Raw genomic sequence first — 15,673 nt, forward strand, 5'->3', positions numbered from 1 at the left:
AAATTAGTCTTACCCTTTTGATTATTTCAGGCTGACGGTTTGTTTTCCCTTCTTCCTGAAACGTAATTCTGTGCATTATCTTGAGACTGGGTTAATTTTTGTTTTTCTGTTCATCTCCCTCTAGTGACTCCCAGAAACCTGATCTACCTAGCTCGATGTTTTCAGCTGCATAGAGGCCATCATTTCCATTGAAACAAAATGAACTGAAACTTCCTCCATTCTTTCTCCCACTCCTCCTCCCCAGTCAGGCCAGGATTTTCCACATTCCAGCATTCTCTACATCCACCAAGGACACTAGCATTCCCCAGACTCTCAACAGCACCACCTCGGAACGTTTTTGTTTATATTGTTTTGCTCTTTTCACTGTCCCTTAGTTTTCAGTTAATTCCCTCTCCTGTTGATGGAAGGATGCCGACTTGTTTCTATCTCCCCTCACTCATGCCACTCACCATCCCTGCCTTTTTTCTGCCTGCATCACTTCTGCACCACCAAAATGATCCTGAACCTCTATCCTTCCTTCTGTCCCCTCCTCTTGTTCCTCTTGACAGTACCAGCCGCTCCTCCAGCTCTACTCTACCACCCCTGCCACATCACCTACCCCTACTCCTCTCCGGCACTCTGACTGGCATTTCCCCCAACACATCTGTCTCCACACACACATATCGGAAAGCTCCCTTAACTCACTTAAGCATGCGTCAATATTTCTGTCAAATTCTAGCTCAAAATTCAACTTCAGGAAGCTCTCTTCAGTTAGTTTCTCCTCACCATTCTGATCACTCCTTTTCATTGTCTTAAATGTGGTCCTATATCGTTTTGTAAACGTTTATGGCAGTATCAATATATCAACACAGCATTATCTATTCTGTTACTTCAACTAAACTGTGAATTACTTAAGTCACCAAGTTTTTTAAAAAGTTAATAGATTTTACATCCAAGAGCAGTTTTAAGTTTACAGCAAAATTGGGTGGAAAGTACAGAGAGTTCCTACATTCTGCTCTCTGTCCCCACAGCCTCCCTCATCAAGGACATCCTGCACCAGTATGGTACATTTGTTACAACTAACATTGATACACCATTATTAAACAAAGTCTGTAGTTTAAATCAAGATTCACTCTTGGTACTGTACATTCTATGAGTTTGAACAAATGCATCATAATCATGACATATATACACTATTGTAACACCATACAAAGTAGTTTCACTGCCCTAAAAGTCTTCTGTGGTCCACATGTTCATCCCTCTCACCTAACTCCTGGAAACCGCTGATGCTTTTACTGTCTACATTGTTTTGCCTTTTCCAGAATGTCATATAGTTGAAATCATACAGTATATGGGCATTTCAGATTGGCTTCTTTTACTTAGTAATATGCCTTTAAATTTAATTCCATGTCTTTTTATGTCTTGATAACATATCTTCTAAGGGCTGATTAATATTCCATTGTCTGGATATAGCACAGTTTGTCTATTCCCCTGTTAAAGGATATATTTGTTGCTTCCAAGTTTTGGCAATTATACATAAAGCTGCTATAAACATTAACGTGAAGGGTACTGTGTGGACATATGTTCAACTCATTTGGGTAAGTACCTATGAGTGTGATTGCTTATTGTATGAGAAACATGTATTTGGTTTTGTAAGAAACCGCAAAAATTGTCTACCATAATGGCACTGGGTATTTTTAAACTTTATTTTATAAAGTAAAAAACTGTTTTTTTATGTAATGTATACAAGTGGCACATTTTGAAAAATACATAAAAGTATAAAGAATATCAATCACCCACAGATAAACAGATTTTGGCATATATCCTTTTTCATTTTCGAATAATAAATTTCTAAAAGTAGAAATAGAATGCTTGATAAAATACAATGTCTTTTTAGAGTTCTTGATTTATAATGCCCAACTGTCCTCCAGAAAGCCATGACATTCTACAAGAATGTTCTTATCAGTATTAGATATTAATAAATAGTTTCCAATTTGATTTCTTATTAAGGAAGGAACATTTTCCATATGCATACTTGACCTTTTGCTTATTCTCGGTATCGTTTGTTTAGATCCTTTTGAGGGGCAGGCCTTTCTAAAGTATTTCTCCTTGAACCCTGAATTGTCCAGTATGAATTATTCACGGAAATGAAAAAGTGTAGGGTTTGGGGGTGAAGTTGAGGGATGTTATCCATTATCCACTCAACGTTAACTAGTCTTACAGATTAGGAGATGGATTCAAATCTAAAAAGAACGTCTTTAATTAACACCTTGTGAGTAAACAGAATCACATCTACTGCAGAATCACACCTGCTGCAGAATCACAGAGGACGCATTAAATGTTCTTTTGTTGCCTGAAAATATAATTCAAATTACTGCTTCACAGTCTTTGGATTAGGAGGATACATTAATAAAACCTTTCGTTGGCTGAGTAGACTGAAGCATGAAAACACAGAGAGAATCGAACCGGCCACCTTAAGGATGGCCGTAGTTGGAAATTCTTAGAGTCCTCCGCTCTACCAGGTGAGCTATCGGAAAGTGTCTGTGACATTCGTTAGCGTAGATTTTTGTGCATTGAGTAGCGGCTGGTGAGACTCCTGACTTCTTTGCATTTGGGCTCAGATTACTGTTCAAGAAGTTCCAGAGAGCCAGGTCTATAGTTAACTGAGTCCCGGGAGCAGCCTTGAGGCAGTAGGAAGTGAGATCTGAGTCGGAGGTAGTGAGAATGGAAACAGAGCAGAAGCCACCGGCTTGGGGTGAATCTGCATAGCTTCTGAACTAGGCTGCCCTCAGAGTAATCTGCGAGCCAGTTTTCGCCCCAGGAGCGCAGGAAGGGACCACCAGGCAGGCTACAAGTGGAGAAGTGCGCAGGACTCCGGGAGTCATGGCTATCAGCAGATTAGATTAGATCTGTTCCCCACAAACACAGAGGTATGGACCAAGTGTAACATTTTTCTCCCAGAGACGTGAACAGTCTAGTTTCTTCCTCGCTTACTGCAGCGTACAAACACCTATTTTCCCAGTATCGTTCATAGGATCCCGACGCTGTACTTTTTCGTCTCAAATCCAGGATCTGGCTTTCATGGAAAGATCATAAAATGCTTCCTTTCTTCACTAGTTTGTTTCAGCGTTGAAAAGGCTAAAAAGCTCCTGCTCTTTTGCTTGGGAAAAGTATTCCTACAGCCGAGGCCCCAGCGAGATTTGAACTCGCGACCCCTGGTTTACAAGACCAGTGCTCTAACCCCTGAGCTATGGAGCCGCCACAGAGAGCAAACATTTAACAATCAATCTATTATGCAGCTAAAATCCTAGGTAAATAGTGTTTAAGTCTAAATAAAGTTTAAGAAATAAATTAAAAGGAATTTTTGAAGGACGTGCCTCTTACGTATAAGAAAGAAACATTTTCTTGACCAGGCTCGGACTGGAATGCAAGTCACTGTAAGGGTAAAATGGGGAATAACAAAATTATTTAATAAAAAGTGATGATTATTTATTCCAACTTTTAAGTTCTGGATTATTTGCTTCTTTGGAGACAGTTGAATTATTGTCTTTTGAAAGTGGCTCTGTTTTTATTACAAAAATTAAAAGTATGTGTTTCGATAGACAAATGACTTACGTTCTTTAAAAGAGATGAGTTTTCAGCTTGCTTGCTCATCAAAAACGAACAAACAAACCATAAAAGACATTTAATATATATTGTTATCTTAAAAACGCATGCTCCACGATACATGCTCCCCAGCTTCAGGCTTGACAAGTCCCAAGTGCCGAGCAACATCAGGGTCAGGGTGCGTTTCATTACAGAAGAGAATGCAGTAGTGATCAGAGAGGTTCCCCCCAACCCGCTTGGATTCTTAGTCCAACTCTCTTAGTCTGAGATTGGGGTTGTTTTTAAAAGGGAGGCGGCTGTCTTCAAGCACAGGACGTACCCCTCGGACCTTCAGAGTTTGGGGGTGGACGCAGTGAGGGCGCCAAGGCTTCCAGATCTCCCCCAGCCTTTCAGCGGAGTCCGGCTTGGTCACAGATTCCTCTAAGTTACCTGAAGCAGAGGTGGCTAGAAGGGGTCCAGCCCTTTTCTTGGTCCTTTAACACTCCTCTTCCTAGCATCTCGGAGTCGGAAGGCAGCTCCTTCTCTTTGGGCCTCCAGGCTTTTCTAAGCGCCAACTTGAAGTCCAGAAAGAATAAAAGTGGCGTCGTCGCATGGGAAGGTTGGGGCGGAAGAGTTTCTCTTCTTTTCTCTCCTTTGGTGTCAGCCTGACCAGGAGGCTCAGTCATTCACTGGACAGCTCCCACTGGCCGGGAGCCAGCTTGGCGCAGGGCAAGCAATGTGATCAAGGCAGACACTGATGCGCCCTGGAGAGGTTAGAGCAAGAGCCCGGGAGCTTCGGTTCCCAAGCAGAAGAGGCTACAGAGTAAGGACAACCGTCCCCCCCACCACCCACCCACCACCTTTTGAGTGGTAGAGGAGTGGGCTTCTACAGAAGAGAGTGTGGGCAGACAGCAACTTTTCCCCGACGGCACCTCCTGGGCGCCCTTGAAAGACGCCTTAAATCTAAACCTATAATACATAGGTAATCAACTAAAGCTGAAAGGGAATGGCCAAAGCACCCACGTGGAGTGCTGGGTGCTGTAGGCGAGAGGTCTGAGGTAGTGGCTTTTAGAGCTCAACATCTTGGTAATGTTGGTTCGACCTTTTCCCCTGCCAGTCCCGCGGTGACCTTTATCTTTCGGTGAGTGAAATCGGTCGTTCGTGTTTTTCGTGGGTCTTCCAACCACAGGCCGCCTGAGATGGTTCTAGTCCCTTTGAGTATACAGACCCTTCCTGTGCATTGACCGACACAGCTCGGCCCGGATCCCGAAATGAACGTTTCTACCTTCGGAACGCTGCGTCTCGGATCCTTCTGAACCCGCACGTTGACTTTCCTGGAGTCTGGAGAAAATCACTAGATTCTAAAGGAATCAAAACTGTTCAAGTGTTGTGCTACAACTAAAAAAATAAATGAACACTCTTAAAGAATAGAATCTCTCCAGTTCTGGCTCGTTGGTCTAGTGGTATGATTCTCGCTTTGGGTGCGAGAGGTCCCGGGTTCAAATCCCGGACGAGCCCCTTTACTTTCCTTTCCGTTTCATCTTTCTCTCTTTAAAGTCAGTAGTTAACAAATACTGCAATCGGCGCTACGGCTAGGTCACCTAGCCCTCTTCAACCTCGACCTATGGGGGATGAGATTGTTGAGCAAATTGCGGCTACTTTCGCTGAAAGAATCAAAGACAACGAAGACGCTGCGAAGGGCCAAGGTCTTCATCACAGATCGGGGTTCCCTGACGGGCTCTGACAGGATCTTTTGTCAGGAGCAGAGTGTTCGGGCAGTTCTTACCCAGTATTTTGTGTGGAACAAACTAGTGCACTTTTCACTAGGTCACTTCGTATGGAAAAGATTGCTACCTGAAGGCGTGTTAGGGTCACAATGTCCCAATAGAACCCGCTTTCTGAGACCCTGACCGCGCGGTGATCCAGCCGCGGGATGGAGTCTAGCCCCTGCCCTGGCCTTGGCGCCTGCTCCGCAGCGCAGTGTTGCACTCTTGGTTGTTGTAGTGAGACTGCCTTTCCGACAGTTGCAAGCGCTGTTGCATCGTTCGAATGCGAAGTCGCAGCCCTGGGAACTTGAGGGTTTACAGGACACAGACATTCATTTTGTTCAAGGAAGCGCAATTCGATTATTTCCAGGTGTTATTTTCGAAAACATAGTATAACATAGGAATAGTTGTTTTTTTCACTTCTGACAAGAATCCACCAGACCCATTAGCTCTTTGATGGCTCACCTGAAAAATCAACACGTTCTACTGTTGGGTGTCTACCTATAATCCTTGAGTGTTGTTCGATTCTGGAGTGAAGAAGCTGTCCTCGATATGAACTGCTGGGATGACCGGCGCTTCAAAGTTGCTTGTCTTTCTAAACTGCTTGTTTAGAAAGGATTCTTTAGGCCAGGCGCGGTGGCTCATGCCTGTAATCCCAGCACTTTGGGGAGGCCCAGGTGGGTGGATCACCTGAGGTCAGGAGTTCGAGACCAGCCTGACCAACTTGGTGAAACCCCATCTCTACTAAAAATACAAAATAGCCAAACGTGGTGGCGCACGCCTGTAATCCCAGTTACTCGGGAGGCTGAGGCAGGAGAATTGTTTGAAACCAGGAGGCAGAGATTGCAGTGAGCCAAGACTGCGCTATTGCGCTCCAGCCTGGGCAACAAGAGCAAAACTCCGTCTCGAAAAAGAAAGGAATCTTTAACAGGATTTCATCTAGCCCAGTTATATTTGTCCTTTCTGAGGTTTCCCCTCGAAGAGTTATGTGTCCAGAGGAAAATAAAGGGTTTTGTGATGATTACAGGAAGGGAGGAGAGAAGGAAGAATCTGTCAACATGCTCTGACTTCCAGGTTGGTTGGCGGGTGGGAAAGGTGAGATGTCTAGCCTGGTACTTTGTCTTTGCTGAACGACTACCAGTGGATAGGCCCAACAGGAAGTTGGATATAGTGTCTGTGATACATCACATAAACAGAATTGAAAATAAAAATCATATGATTATCTCAATAGATGCAGAAGAAAGCATTTGACAAAATCCAGCATCCCTTTATGATCAAAACCATCAGCAAAATCAGCATAGAAGGGACATATCTCAAGGTAACAAAAGCCATCTATGACAAACCCACAGCCAACATCATACTGAACAGGGAAAAGTTAAAAGCATTCCTCCTGGAACAAGGCAAGGATGCCATGCCCACTTTCACCATTTCTATTCAACATAGTACTGGAAGTTCTAGCCAGAGCAATCAGACAAGAGAAAAAAATAAAGGGCATCCAAATTGGAAAAGAGGAAGTCAAACTGTCACTGTTCGCTGATGATATGATCGAATACCTAGAAAACCCTAAAGACTCATCCAAAAAGCTCCTGGATGTCATCAATTGAATTCAGGAAAGTTTCAGGATACAATACAACGTACACAGTCAGTAGCACTGCTATACAGCAACAACGACCAAGCTGAGAATCAAATGAGGAACTCAATCCTGTTTACAACAGCTTCAAAAATAAAAAATAAAATAATTAGCAATATACTTAACCAAGGAGGTGAAAGATCTCTACAAGGAAAATTACAAAACACTGCTGAAAGAAATCATAGATGACAAAAACAAATGAAAACACATCCCATGCTCATGGATGGATAGAATCAACATTGTGAAAATGACCATACTGCCAAAAGCAATCTACAGATTCAATACAATTCCCATAAAAATACCATCGTCATTCTTCACAGAACTAGAAAAAAAAATCCTAAAATTCACATGAATCCAAAAAAAGAGCCTGCATAGCCCCCAAGCAAAGTTAAGTGTAAAGAACAAATCTGGAGGCATCACATTACCTGTCTTCAAACTATACTGCAAGGCTACAGTTACCAAAACAGCGTGGTACCAGTAAAACAAAACAAAACATGTAGACCAATGTAACAGAATAGAGAACCCAGAAAAAAAACCAACTACTTACAGTCAACTAATCTTTGACAAAGCATACAAAAACATAAGTGGGGAAAGGACGCCCTATTCAACAAATGGTGCTGGGATAATTGGCAAGCCATATGTAAAGGAATGATATTGGATTCTCATCTCTCATCTTATACAAAAATCAACTCAAGATGGATCAAAGACCTGAAATCATAAAAATTCTAGAAGATAGCATCAGAAAAACTCTTCTAAACATTGACTTAGGCAAATAATTCATTACCAAGAACCCAAAAGCAAATGCAGCAAAAACAAAAATAAATGAGACCTAATTAAACTAAAAAGCTTCTGCATAGCAAAAGAAATAATCAGCAGAGTAAAAGACAACCCACAGAGTGAGAGAAAATATTCACGAACTATGCATCCAACACAGGATTCAAATATCCAGAATCTACAAGGAAATAAAACAAATCAGCAAGAAAAAAGTAAATAATCCCATGAAAAAGTGGGCAAAGGACATGAATAGACATTTCTCAAAAGGAGATATACAAGTGGCCAATAAACATGAAAAAATACTCAACATCACTAATTATCAGGGAAATGCAAATTAAAACCACAGTGAGATACCACCTTGCTCCTGCAAGAATGGCCATAATTTAAAAATCAAAAAATAATAGATGTTGGGGTGGATGTGGTAAAAAAAGGAACATTTTGTACACTGCTGGTGGGAATGTAAACTAGTACAACCACTATGGAAAACAATATGGAGATTCCTTAAAGAACTGAAAGTAGAACTACCATTCAATCCACCAATCCCACGACTGAGTATCTACCCAAAGGAATAGAAGGCATTATATGAAAAAGACACTTGCATACACATGTTTATTTACAGCAGCACAATTTGCAAGTGCAAAAATATGGAAGCAACATAAATGTCCATCAACAAATGAGTGGATAAAGAAAATGTGCTATATTGGCCGGGCATGGTGACTCACGCCTGTAATTCCAGCACTTTGGGAGATGGAGGTGGGTGGATCACTTGAGGCCAGGAGTTAGAGACCAGCCTGGCCAACATGGTGAAACCCTGTCTCTACTAACCAGCTATGGTGGTGCATGCCTGTAATCCCAGCTACTCGCGAGGCTGAGGCAGGAGAATCATTTGAATCCAGGAGGCAGAGGTTACAGTGAGCCAAGAACGTGCCACTGCACTCCTGCCTGGGTGTCAGAGTGAGACTCCGGCTCAAAAAAACAAAAATAAAGTGGTACATATACACCATGGAATACTACTCAGCCATAAAAAGAAACAAAATAATGGCATTGGATGGAGTTGGAGACCATTATTGTAAGTGAAATAACTCAGGAATGGAAAACCAAATATTGTATGTTCTCACTTACAAGTGAGAGCTAAGCTATGAGGATGCAAAGGCATAAGGAGGAAATAATGGACTTTGGGAACTTGGGGAAATGGTGGGAGGGCACTAAAAGATAAAAGACTCCATATTGCCTACAGTATACACTGCTCGGGTGATGGGTGCACCAAAATCTCAGAAATCACCGCTAAAGAACTTCATGTAACCAAAAACTACCTGTTCCCCCAAAACAATTGAAATAAAATAAATAAATAACAAAGAACACATTGACTATTTCAAATAAGAGGACAAGATCAGTTGTGCCAAACTCTGCTGAGGTAAGTATAAAGAGTAACATATGCTTGCTGAGTTTAGCATCATTGTCATTATCAATGATGTCATTAAGAGCTTCATTTATTTATTTAATTTTTGAGACCAGGTCTCACCCTTTGGCCCAGGCTGGAGTGCAGTGATGCGATCTTGGCTGACTGTAGCCTCGAAATCCCAGGCTCAAACAATCCCCCTTGTTGGCTTCCCAGCATGCTGGGATTGTAGGCGTGAGCCACTGCACCTGGCCTTATTCAGAGTTTTATATGTAAAATGATGCAAACAGAAGCATTTTCTACTTCTTCTAAATTAAGTATATTCTGTCTTAACTGTATGTTTAAAAACAAAATACAAATTTCATGTCAATGAAGGTAAGATCTTTGAAAGGAAAGCTTAGAAATAAATATCAATAAACAGATTTTTATTTATTCTTTTATTTAATCACAAACTTTCATGGACACACAAGTTTGTATCACTGTTATATGCATGCACACATTCACATGCGCACTCAATCTACACATACCATCATACCAAAATTTCAGGCAAATTTATTTCATATAATAGTATGAATAAAGACGCTTGTCATGGTACCTTTATAGAAATTCGAAGCCAGGCGCGGTGGCTCACGCTTGTAATCCCAGCACTTTGGGGAGGGTGAGGCTAGCAGATCACCTGAGGTCGGGAGTTCCAGACCAGCCTGACCAACAAGGATAAACCCCGTCTCTGCTAAAAATACAAAATTAGCTGGGTGTGGTGGCACGTGCCTATAATCCCAGCTACTCGGGAGGCTGAGGCAGGAGAATCGCTTGAACCCGGGAGGCAGAGGTTGCAGTGAGCTGAGATCACGCCATTGGTTTCCAGCCCGGACAACAGAGTAAGACTCCATCTCAAAAACAGAAAAAAAATTATATATTTATATATTCATATGTATTATGTCTACCCCAAAAGTCTATGAATTCCTTGATGGCAGGGGCCAATATTTGTACCTCTAACATACCAACTTACTTCCTAGAACACAGTATTCAACAAATTTTATTGAATTAAATTGAGCCCAAAGTTATTTTTCACAATGAAACACATGTTGAAAATGGATGGTTTAACATGCTTTATTGCCATAATATGTGGCAATTACTTCAAGAAATGCTGTAAATTGTTGCATGAATTCCTTTCCTTGGCCAGTGGCTGGAATAGACTTCAGATTTTTATGTTTCATGAAACTAGGTAATTTTTAAGGCGATATTTCATCTCCTCTCTGGGCAACACTTCTAGATCACTCCAGAAGAGTTATTTTTACCTTCGAATCATTCTTTCCATTCCTTTAGTACTCAGAAATATTTTGGAATAAAATTATCTAGTGTGTTTGCATGCATTATGAATAGAACTAGATAAAAACATTTCTATTTTCCATGCCCACTGAAGCTTATGGCTAACTCTTTTGACGCTAATACGCACTTTGCCAGTTTTGCAGCACTATTTTGAGTTTAGTATGCTGTCGATACCTTGATATTTACATGTTTTGTACATCGTTCCTATGTACACACACTCTAACGTGACAAATCCTGTTTAATGAATGATGACCTCTGTGAAAATTTCTCTAACAAGAAAATGCACTGGGAAGAGTAAACCAATTTTTATAAGATCTCCAATGTCCTTTTGTAAATCTCCTTCTCATCCACATTTCCTTAAATTATTATCCGTCCCTTAGTTCTAAACTCTAAAGTTCAAGCTGCTTGAGGTTAGAAACAATTTATTCTTGTTCATCTTTGTATATATTCATATATCACAGTGTTCAACAAAGATTCTTCACAGACCTTTGCTGAATGAATGAATGAATAAATAAATAAATAAATAAATAAATAAATAAATAAATATTTGTTTCCAAGATTTCCAAAGGGATTTCCATGAATAGGAATCCCTTTTCAAATGTCCAATAAACTAGACAAAATTTACTACAAAGTTTGGTTCTTGGTAGATACAACAATATTTGGCATTTGGCATTCTTTTTTTTTTTTTTTTTAGATGGAGTTTTGCTCTTTCGCCCAGGCTGGAGTGAAGTGGCACGATCTTGGCTCGCTGCAAACCTCCGCCCCCTGGGTTCAGTGATTCTCCTGCCTCCTTATATAATGCCTCCTTATATAATGAAATTATATGAAATTACCCTTTTTGGTAGCTGGGATTAAAGGCGCCCGCCACCACGCCCGGCTAATTTTTGTGTTTTTGTAGAGGCGGGGTTTCGCCATGTTGGCCAGACTGGTCTAGGAACTCCTGACCTCAGGTGATCAGCCTGTCTCGGCCTTCCAAAGGGCTAGGATTACAGGCGTGAGCCACCGTGTCCAGCCTATGTGGCATTCTTAACTCTTTAATATTAAAGCTCCTTATTTTACTAAAAACAAAAGAAGATTTCACACAACAGATACAAGAATGTAAAAAGATGAACAAATGAATGAAACATAATCCAATGACAAAACGAGTGGAGATGTCTTTATCAATGTACTAAAGTGCACACTAGAAGAATACAGTAAATGCTATTACTCATGAAATCCCTCACTGATCTGCTTTCCCAACAGCACCTGGAATTACCACAGAGAAGTAATTAAGTCCCTTTATTAAATTTGCTTCACCTCTTTTTCCTCTAGCATTAAATGTAAATTTTTCTAACAAGCATGTACAAAAATATACAGATAATCTATTTTTATTTCATTTTATATCTATAAGGAATTTTTTCTTAAAATTCTTGACTTGCATAAACAGTTGGAAGGCTCTACTTAGACTTGCAATCAGTTTTTAGCTTTTGAGGAGAGTGCACGAATGGATTCAAATGTTGAATTAAAGCTACAGTCCCTCTTCTCAGACAAATGCATATATATTCAAGCACATAAAATTTAGATACCTATTGGGCATATAAATTTTCTGAAACCCATCCTTAGATTCCCTACATGACCATGGACCCATAGGTTAAGACTCACAGGTTGGAAGGTCTTAGGAAGTGGCGATGATATTGATCACGATATATCAATAATAATAATAAGTATTATTATTATTAGGTATGATCTAGGATCAAGAAATTTTGCCTGAAAGAGAAGAAGGTGGATTGATGACCTGAGAATTCATTAGTAGTTCCAGAATTCAGTCTTTTGGTGATATCCATAATGAAGACGGAAAGGAGCATGATAATGAGAATATTTGGATTTTAAAATATGATTTTTAAAAATGACAACAAGACCAGGTGTGGTGGCTCACACCTGTAATCCCAGCACTTCGGGAGGCTGAGGTGGGTGGATCACTTGATGCCAGGAGTTTGAGACTAGCCTGGTCATCGAGTGAAACCCCATCTCTACTAAAAATACAAAAATTAGCCAGGTGTGGTGGTGGGCACATGTAATCCCAGCTACTCAGGAGGCTGAGGCAGGAGAATTGCTTAAACCCAGGAGGTGGAGGTTGCAGTGAGCTGAGATCGCGCCACTGCACTCCAGCCTGGGCGACAGAGTGAGACTTTCTCTCTCTCTCTCTCAAAAAAAAAAAAAAAAAAAAAAAAAAAAGACTAGTTACTAGACTCTTCACTTTTACTTTACTGCTTTCTCACTGAGACATTTATCAAGTAAAAGATTCCCTAAAACGCCTGCCACTACCTTCCTAAACATGTCCTTCAAAGCTTCCTTGACTTGCTCATTACGTAAGGCATAGATGAATGGATTCAACAGTGGTGTCACAAATGTCGTTATTACTGTCACTGCCCAGTTAGTGTCCACAGAACCACTCTGCGATGGCCGCACATAGAGAAAAATGGCACTTCCATAGAAGAGGGTCACCACTATCAAGTGGGAGGTACAGGTAGAGAAGGCCTTCTGACGGCCTGAAGCAGAGGGGATGCTCAGGACTGCCAGCACAATGAGGCCGTAGGACACAGCAGTGATCAGCAAGGAAGATACAATGACGAGGGAGGCCAGGACAAAGTCAGTCTCCTCCAGCTTCTTGGTGTTGGTGCAAGCCAGGCGGAGCAGTGGGCCACTGTCGCAGAAGAAGTGCTGTACCACAGCACCCTGCTTACAGAAAGGAAGCAAGGCCACAGCCACTGTGGGACCAAGCACAGGGACGAGTCCCCCCACCCAGCAGGCCAAGGCCACACGAAAGCACACAGCCCCACTCATGAGCAAGGGGTAGCGCAGAGGATGACAGATGGCCAGGTAGCGATCCGCAGACATGACAGCCAACAGTAAGAACTCGGAGGCCCCGAGAAAGAAGTAGAAATAGAATTGGGTGATACATGCAGCAAAGGAAATAGTGTGTTGCCTTGAGAGGAAATTGCTCAGCATCTTTGGAATGATGACAGAAGTGAGCAGTATCTCTAGGCAGGACAGGTTACCCAGAAAGAAGTACATAGGGGTCTGTAGTCGAGTATCAGCCCTTACCACCCCCACAATCAACACATTGCCTGTCAGATTCAGGAGATAGACAAGAAGAAACACAGAAAATAATTCCACTCTTGCGCTGTTGAGATTTGGGAGCCCTGCCAGGACGAACTCTGTTGGATCACTACTGTGGTTCCCATCAGGACTCATTGTCTTTTTCACCTGTCCAACAACAAAAACATGATCCTGGTAAGAGCAGGTCCTCTGCTTACAGTCCTGAAACTTACTTCATCATGATATGGGACTCATATCCCCAGTTTATCCAATTGCAGGTCCTGTTAAGATCTGAAGCACTTAAGGTCATCATCTGATTGATTTTAGCACTAGAGAAGATTTTCTCTAAAGGGTAACAAAACTTAGGTATGAAAATGCCAGGAGCCTCCATCTCCTCCATCTTCACATATCCTGTTCTCAGATCTTAAATAATGACACCTCATTATTGTAATAACAATATCACTGAGCATCTGAGTTGGGCAAAAATATCTGAAAAAGGATTTTGTGAAGAATATGATTACCATTCAACTGGGATCAGAACTTGAGTCAGACTACCTAGTTTTAAATTCCTGCATCTCCACTTACTGGCTGAGTAGCCTTGGTAAGGTTACTTACCCTCTCTGTGCTCCTCAGTTGTGAAATGCTGTAAGGAGCAAATGATATAATAGTGCAAAGAATTTAAGAGTGTCTAGTACTTAACTTAAAAATTATATGGCAGAGAAAGCCCCTGGCTATAAGTTAGGACACCAGAATCTAGGCTTGGCTTGCCATTACTCTTGGAAGATTATCAATTTGTACTTTAACTGTCCAACTGTACAATGAGTCACAGGAATCTAGGCCATTAGTATACCTAATGAAATTATATAAAATTACCCTTTCCGGCAGGACGCAGTGGCTCATGCCTGTAATCCCAGCTTTTGGGAGACCGAGGCGGGCGGATCACTTGAGGCCAGGAGTTTGAGACAAGCCTGGCCAACATGGTGAAACCCCGTCAGATGTTTGTCAGAGCCAAAATTATGAATTTCTGACCGCAACTATTAATAAAAAATTATGTTCTTATTCTTTGATTCTTATTCTTTGCTTCAAGTCCTCCCAGTTCTGAGGACCACCACCAGTTAGAAAAATCAAGTCCATTATATCCAGAAAGCTTGTTTAAAAATGCCTCAGGTATCAGGAGAATCCTTACTCCCTTTTGACAGAGCAGGAGCACCATCGTCTTGGACAAACACTGCCACTTTAAGTTTCAGCTCCCTTTCTAGCCTCATGCATTTCAAAGAAATCACTTCTCTTCTAACTACAGGCAGCCAGAAAGAGCAGACAGTAAAACACAGATAAGACAGCTCGGGCACAGAGGGAGGTGAGGGGAAATTCTTTTGGGTAACCGCCAAACTTCACCATCATACAATGGGCCCCAGTAAAACGATGGGCCTTAATAAGCACCTTTCTTTCCCTTCAGGTGCACTAAGATAGGGAAGCTGAATGGGAGTATGCCTGCAGCTACAGAAAGATTATGGGAACAGACACAAAACTCTCCCTCCCAGATAAGCACAACAAAGAGACACAGAAGCAGTCCAAGCCTCTGATAAACTCTCCCACCCTGAATCCTTAAAAACTCCTAGTCTGTAAGAGAGTGTGCCTCTGACCTAGCTTGGCCAGAAGTTCCTCTCAGGTTTGTTTTCTCCTCCCAGGTTTGTTTTCTCTCTAAAATGAACCTGTCTTGACTAGCAAGCCACCTTTCATGTTTCTTTCCTCTTTCTTTAATTCTTATACCTTTAGCCATGCAAAACATAAGAACTGATCTTAAGACCCTTGGTTCTCTGTCAGCCCTATTGTTCTCTTTTGTTGTTGTTGTTGAGATGGAGTCTCACTCTGTTGCCCAGGCTGGAATGCAGTGGCACAATCTTGGCTCACTGCAACCCCACCTCCTGAGTTCAAGCGATTTTCCTGCCTCAGCCTCCTAAGCAGCTGGGACTACAGGCACATGCCACCACACCCGGGTAATTTTTGTATTTTTAGTAGAGACAGGGTTTTGCCATGGTGGCCTGGCTAGTCTTGAACTCCTGGCCTCAAGTGATCTGCCTCTCCTCGGCCTCCCAAAGTGCTAGGATTACTGGTGTTAGCCACCATCCCCAG

The 15,673-nt window shown here is 41.8% G+C and overlaps 1 protein-coding gene and 2 non-coding genes across 3 annotated transcripts, besides 4 other annotated features; 1 reads left to right on the forward strand and 2 right to left on the reverse strand.

The window, feature by feature from the left end:
- Positions 1–3,164: 3,164 nt before the first annotated feature.
- TRT-TGT4-1 (tRNA-Thr (anticodon TGT) 4-1) lies at positions 3,165–3,237 on the reverse strand. The gene has a single exon. It is a non-coding gene; the product is annotated as a tRNA-Thr (tRNA).
- Positions 4,177–4,226: an enhancer, noted in NCBI's record as "active region_8083". NCBI's record gives its function as "activates an Ori minimal core promoter by ATAC-STARR-seq in GM12878 lymphoblastoid cells {active_cell/tissue: GM12878}" and the evidence as "EXISTENCE:reporter gene assay evidence [ECO:0000049][PMID:35858748]".
- On the forward strand, positions 5,011–5,082 carry TRP-TGG1-1 (tRNA-Pro (anticodon TGG) 1-1). Its single transcript has one exon. It is a non-coding gene; the product is annotated as a tRNA-Pro (tRNA).
- Positions 5,015–5,309: a silencer, noted in NCBI's record as "tiled region #11977; K562 Repressive DNase matched - State 4:PromP". NCBI's record gives its function as "represses a minimal TATA promoter and a strong SV40 promoter by Sharpr-MPRA in K562 cells {active_cell/tissue: K562}" and the evidence as "EXISTENCE:reporter gene assay evidence [ECO:0000049][PMID:27701403]".
- Positions 5,047–5,096: a silencer, noted in NCBI's record as "silent region_5571". NCBI's record gives its function as "represses an Ori minimal core promoter by ATAC-STARR-seq in GM12878 lymphoblastoid cells {active_cell/tissue: GM12878}" and the evidence as "EXISTENCE:reporter gene assay evidence [ECO:0000049][PMID:35858748]".
- Positions 12,701–13,696, reverse strand: OR6S1 (olfactory receptor family 6 subfamily S member 1). Its single transcript, NM_001001968.1, has one exon. The coding sequence runs from the start codon at positions 13,694–13,696 to the stop codon at positions 12,701–12,703; it is 996 nt and encodes a 331-aa protein (NP_001001968.1).
- Positions 14,633–15,318: an enhancer, noted in NCBI's record as "NANOG-H3K4me1 hESC enhancer chr14:21110787-21111472 (GRCh37/hg19 assembly coordinates)". NCBI's record gives its function as "activates a minimal SCP1, AML or CMV promoter by ChIP-STARR-seq in naive H9 embryonic stem cells {active_cell/tissue: H9 hESC(naive)}" and the evidence as "EXISTENCE:reporter gene assay evidence [ECO:0000049][PMID:30033119]".

Source organism: Homo sapiens, chromosome 14 (assembly GCF_000001405.40).
Source record: "Homo sapiens chromosome 14, GRCh38.p14 Primary Assembly".
Lineage (NCBI taxonomy): Eukaryota > Metazoa > Chordata > Mammalia > Primates > Hominidae > Homo > Homo sapiens.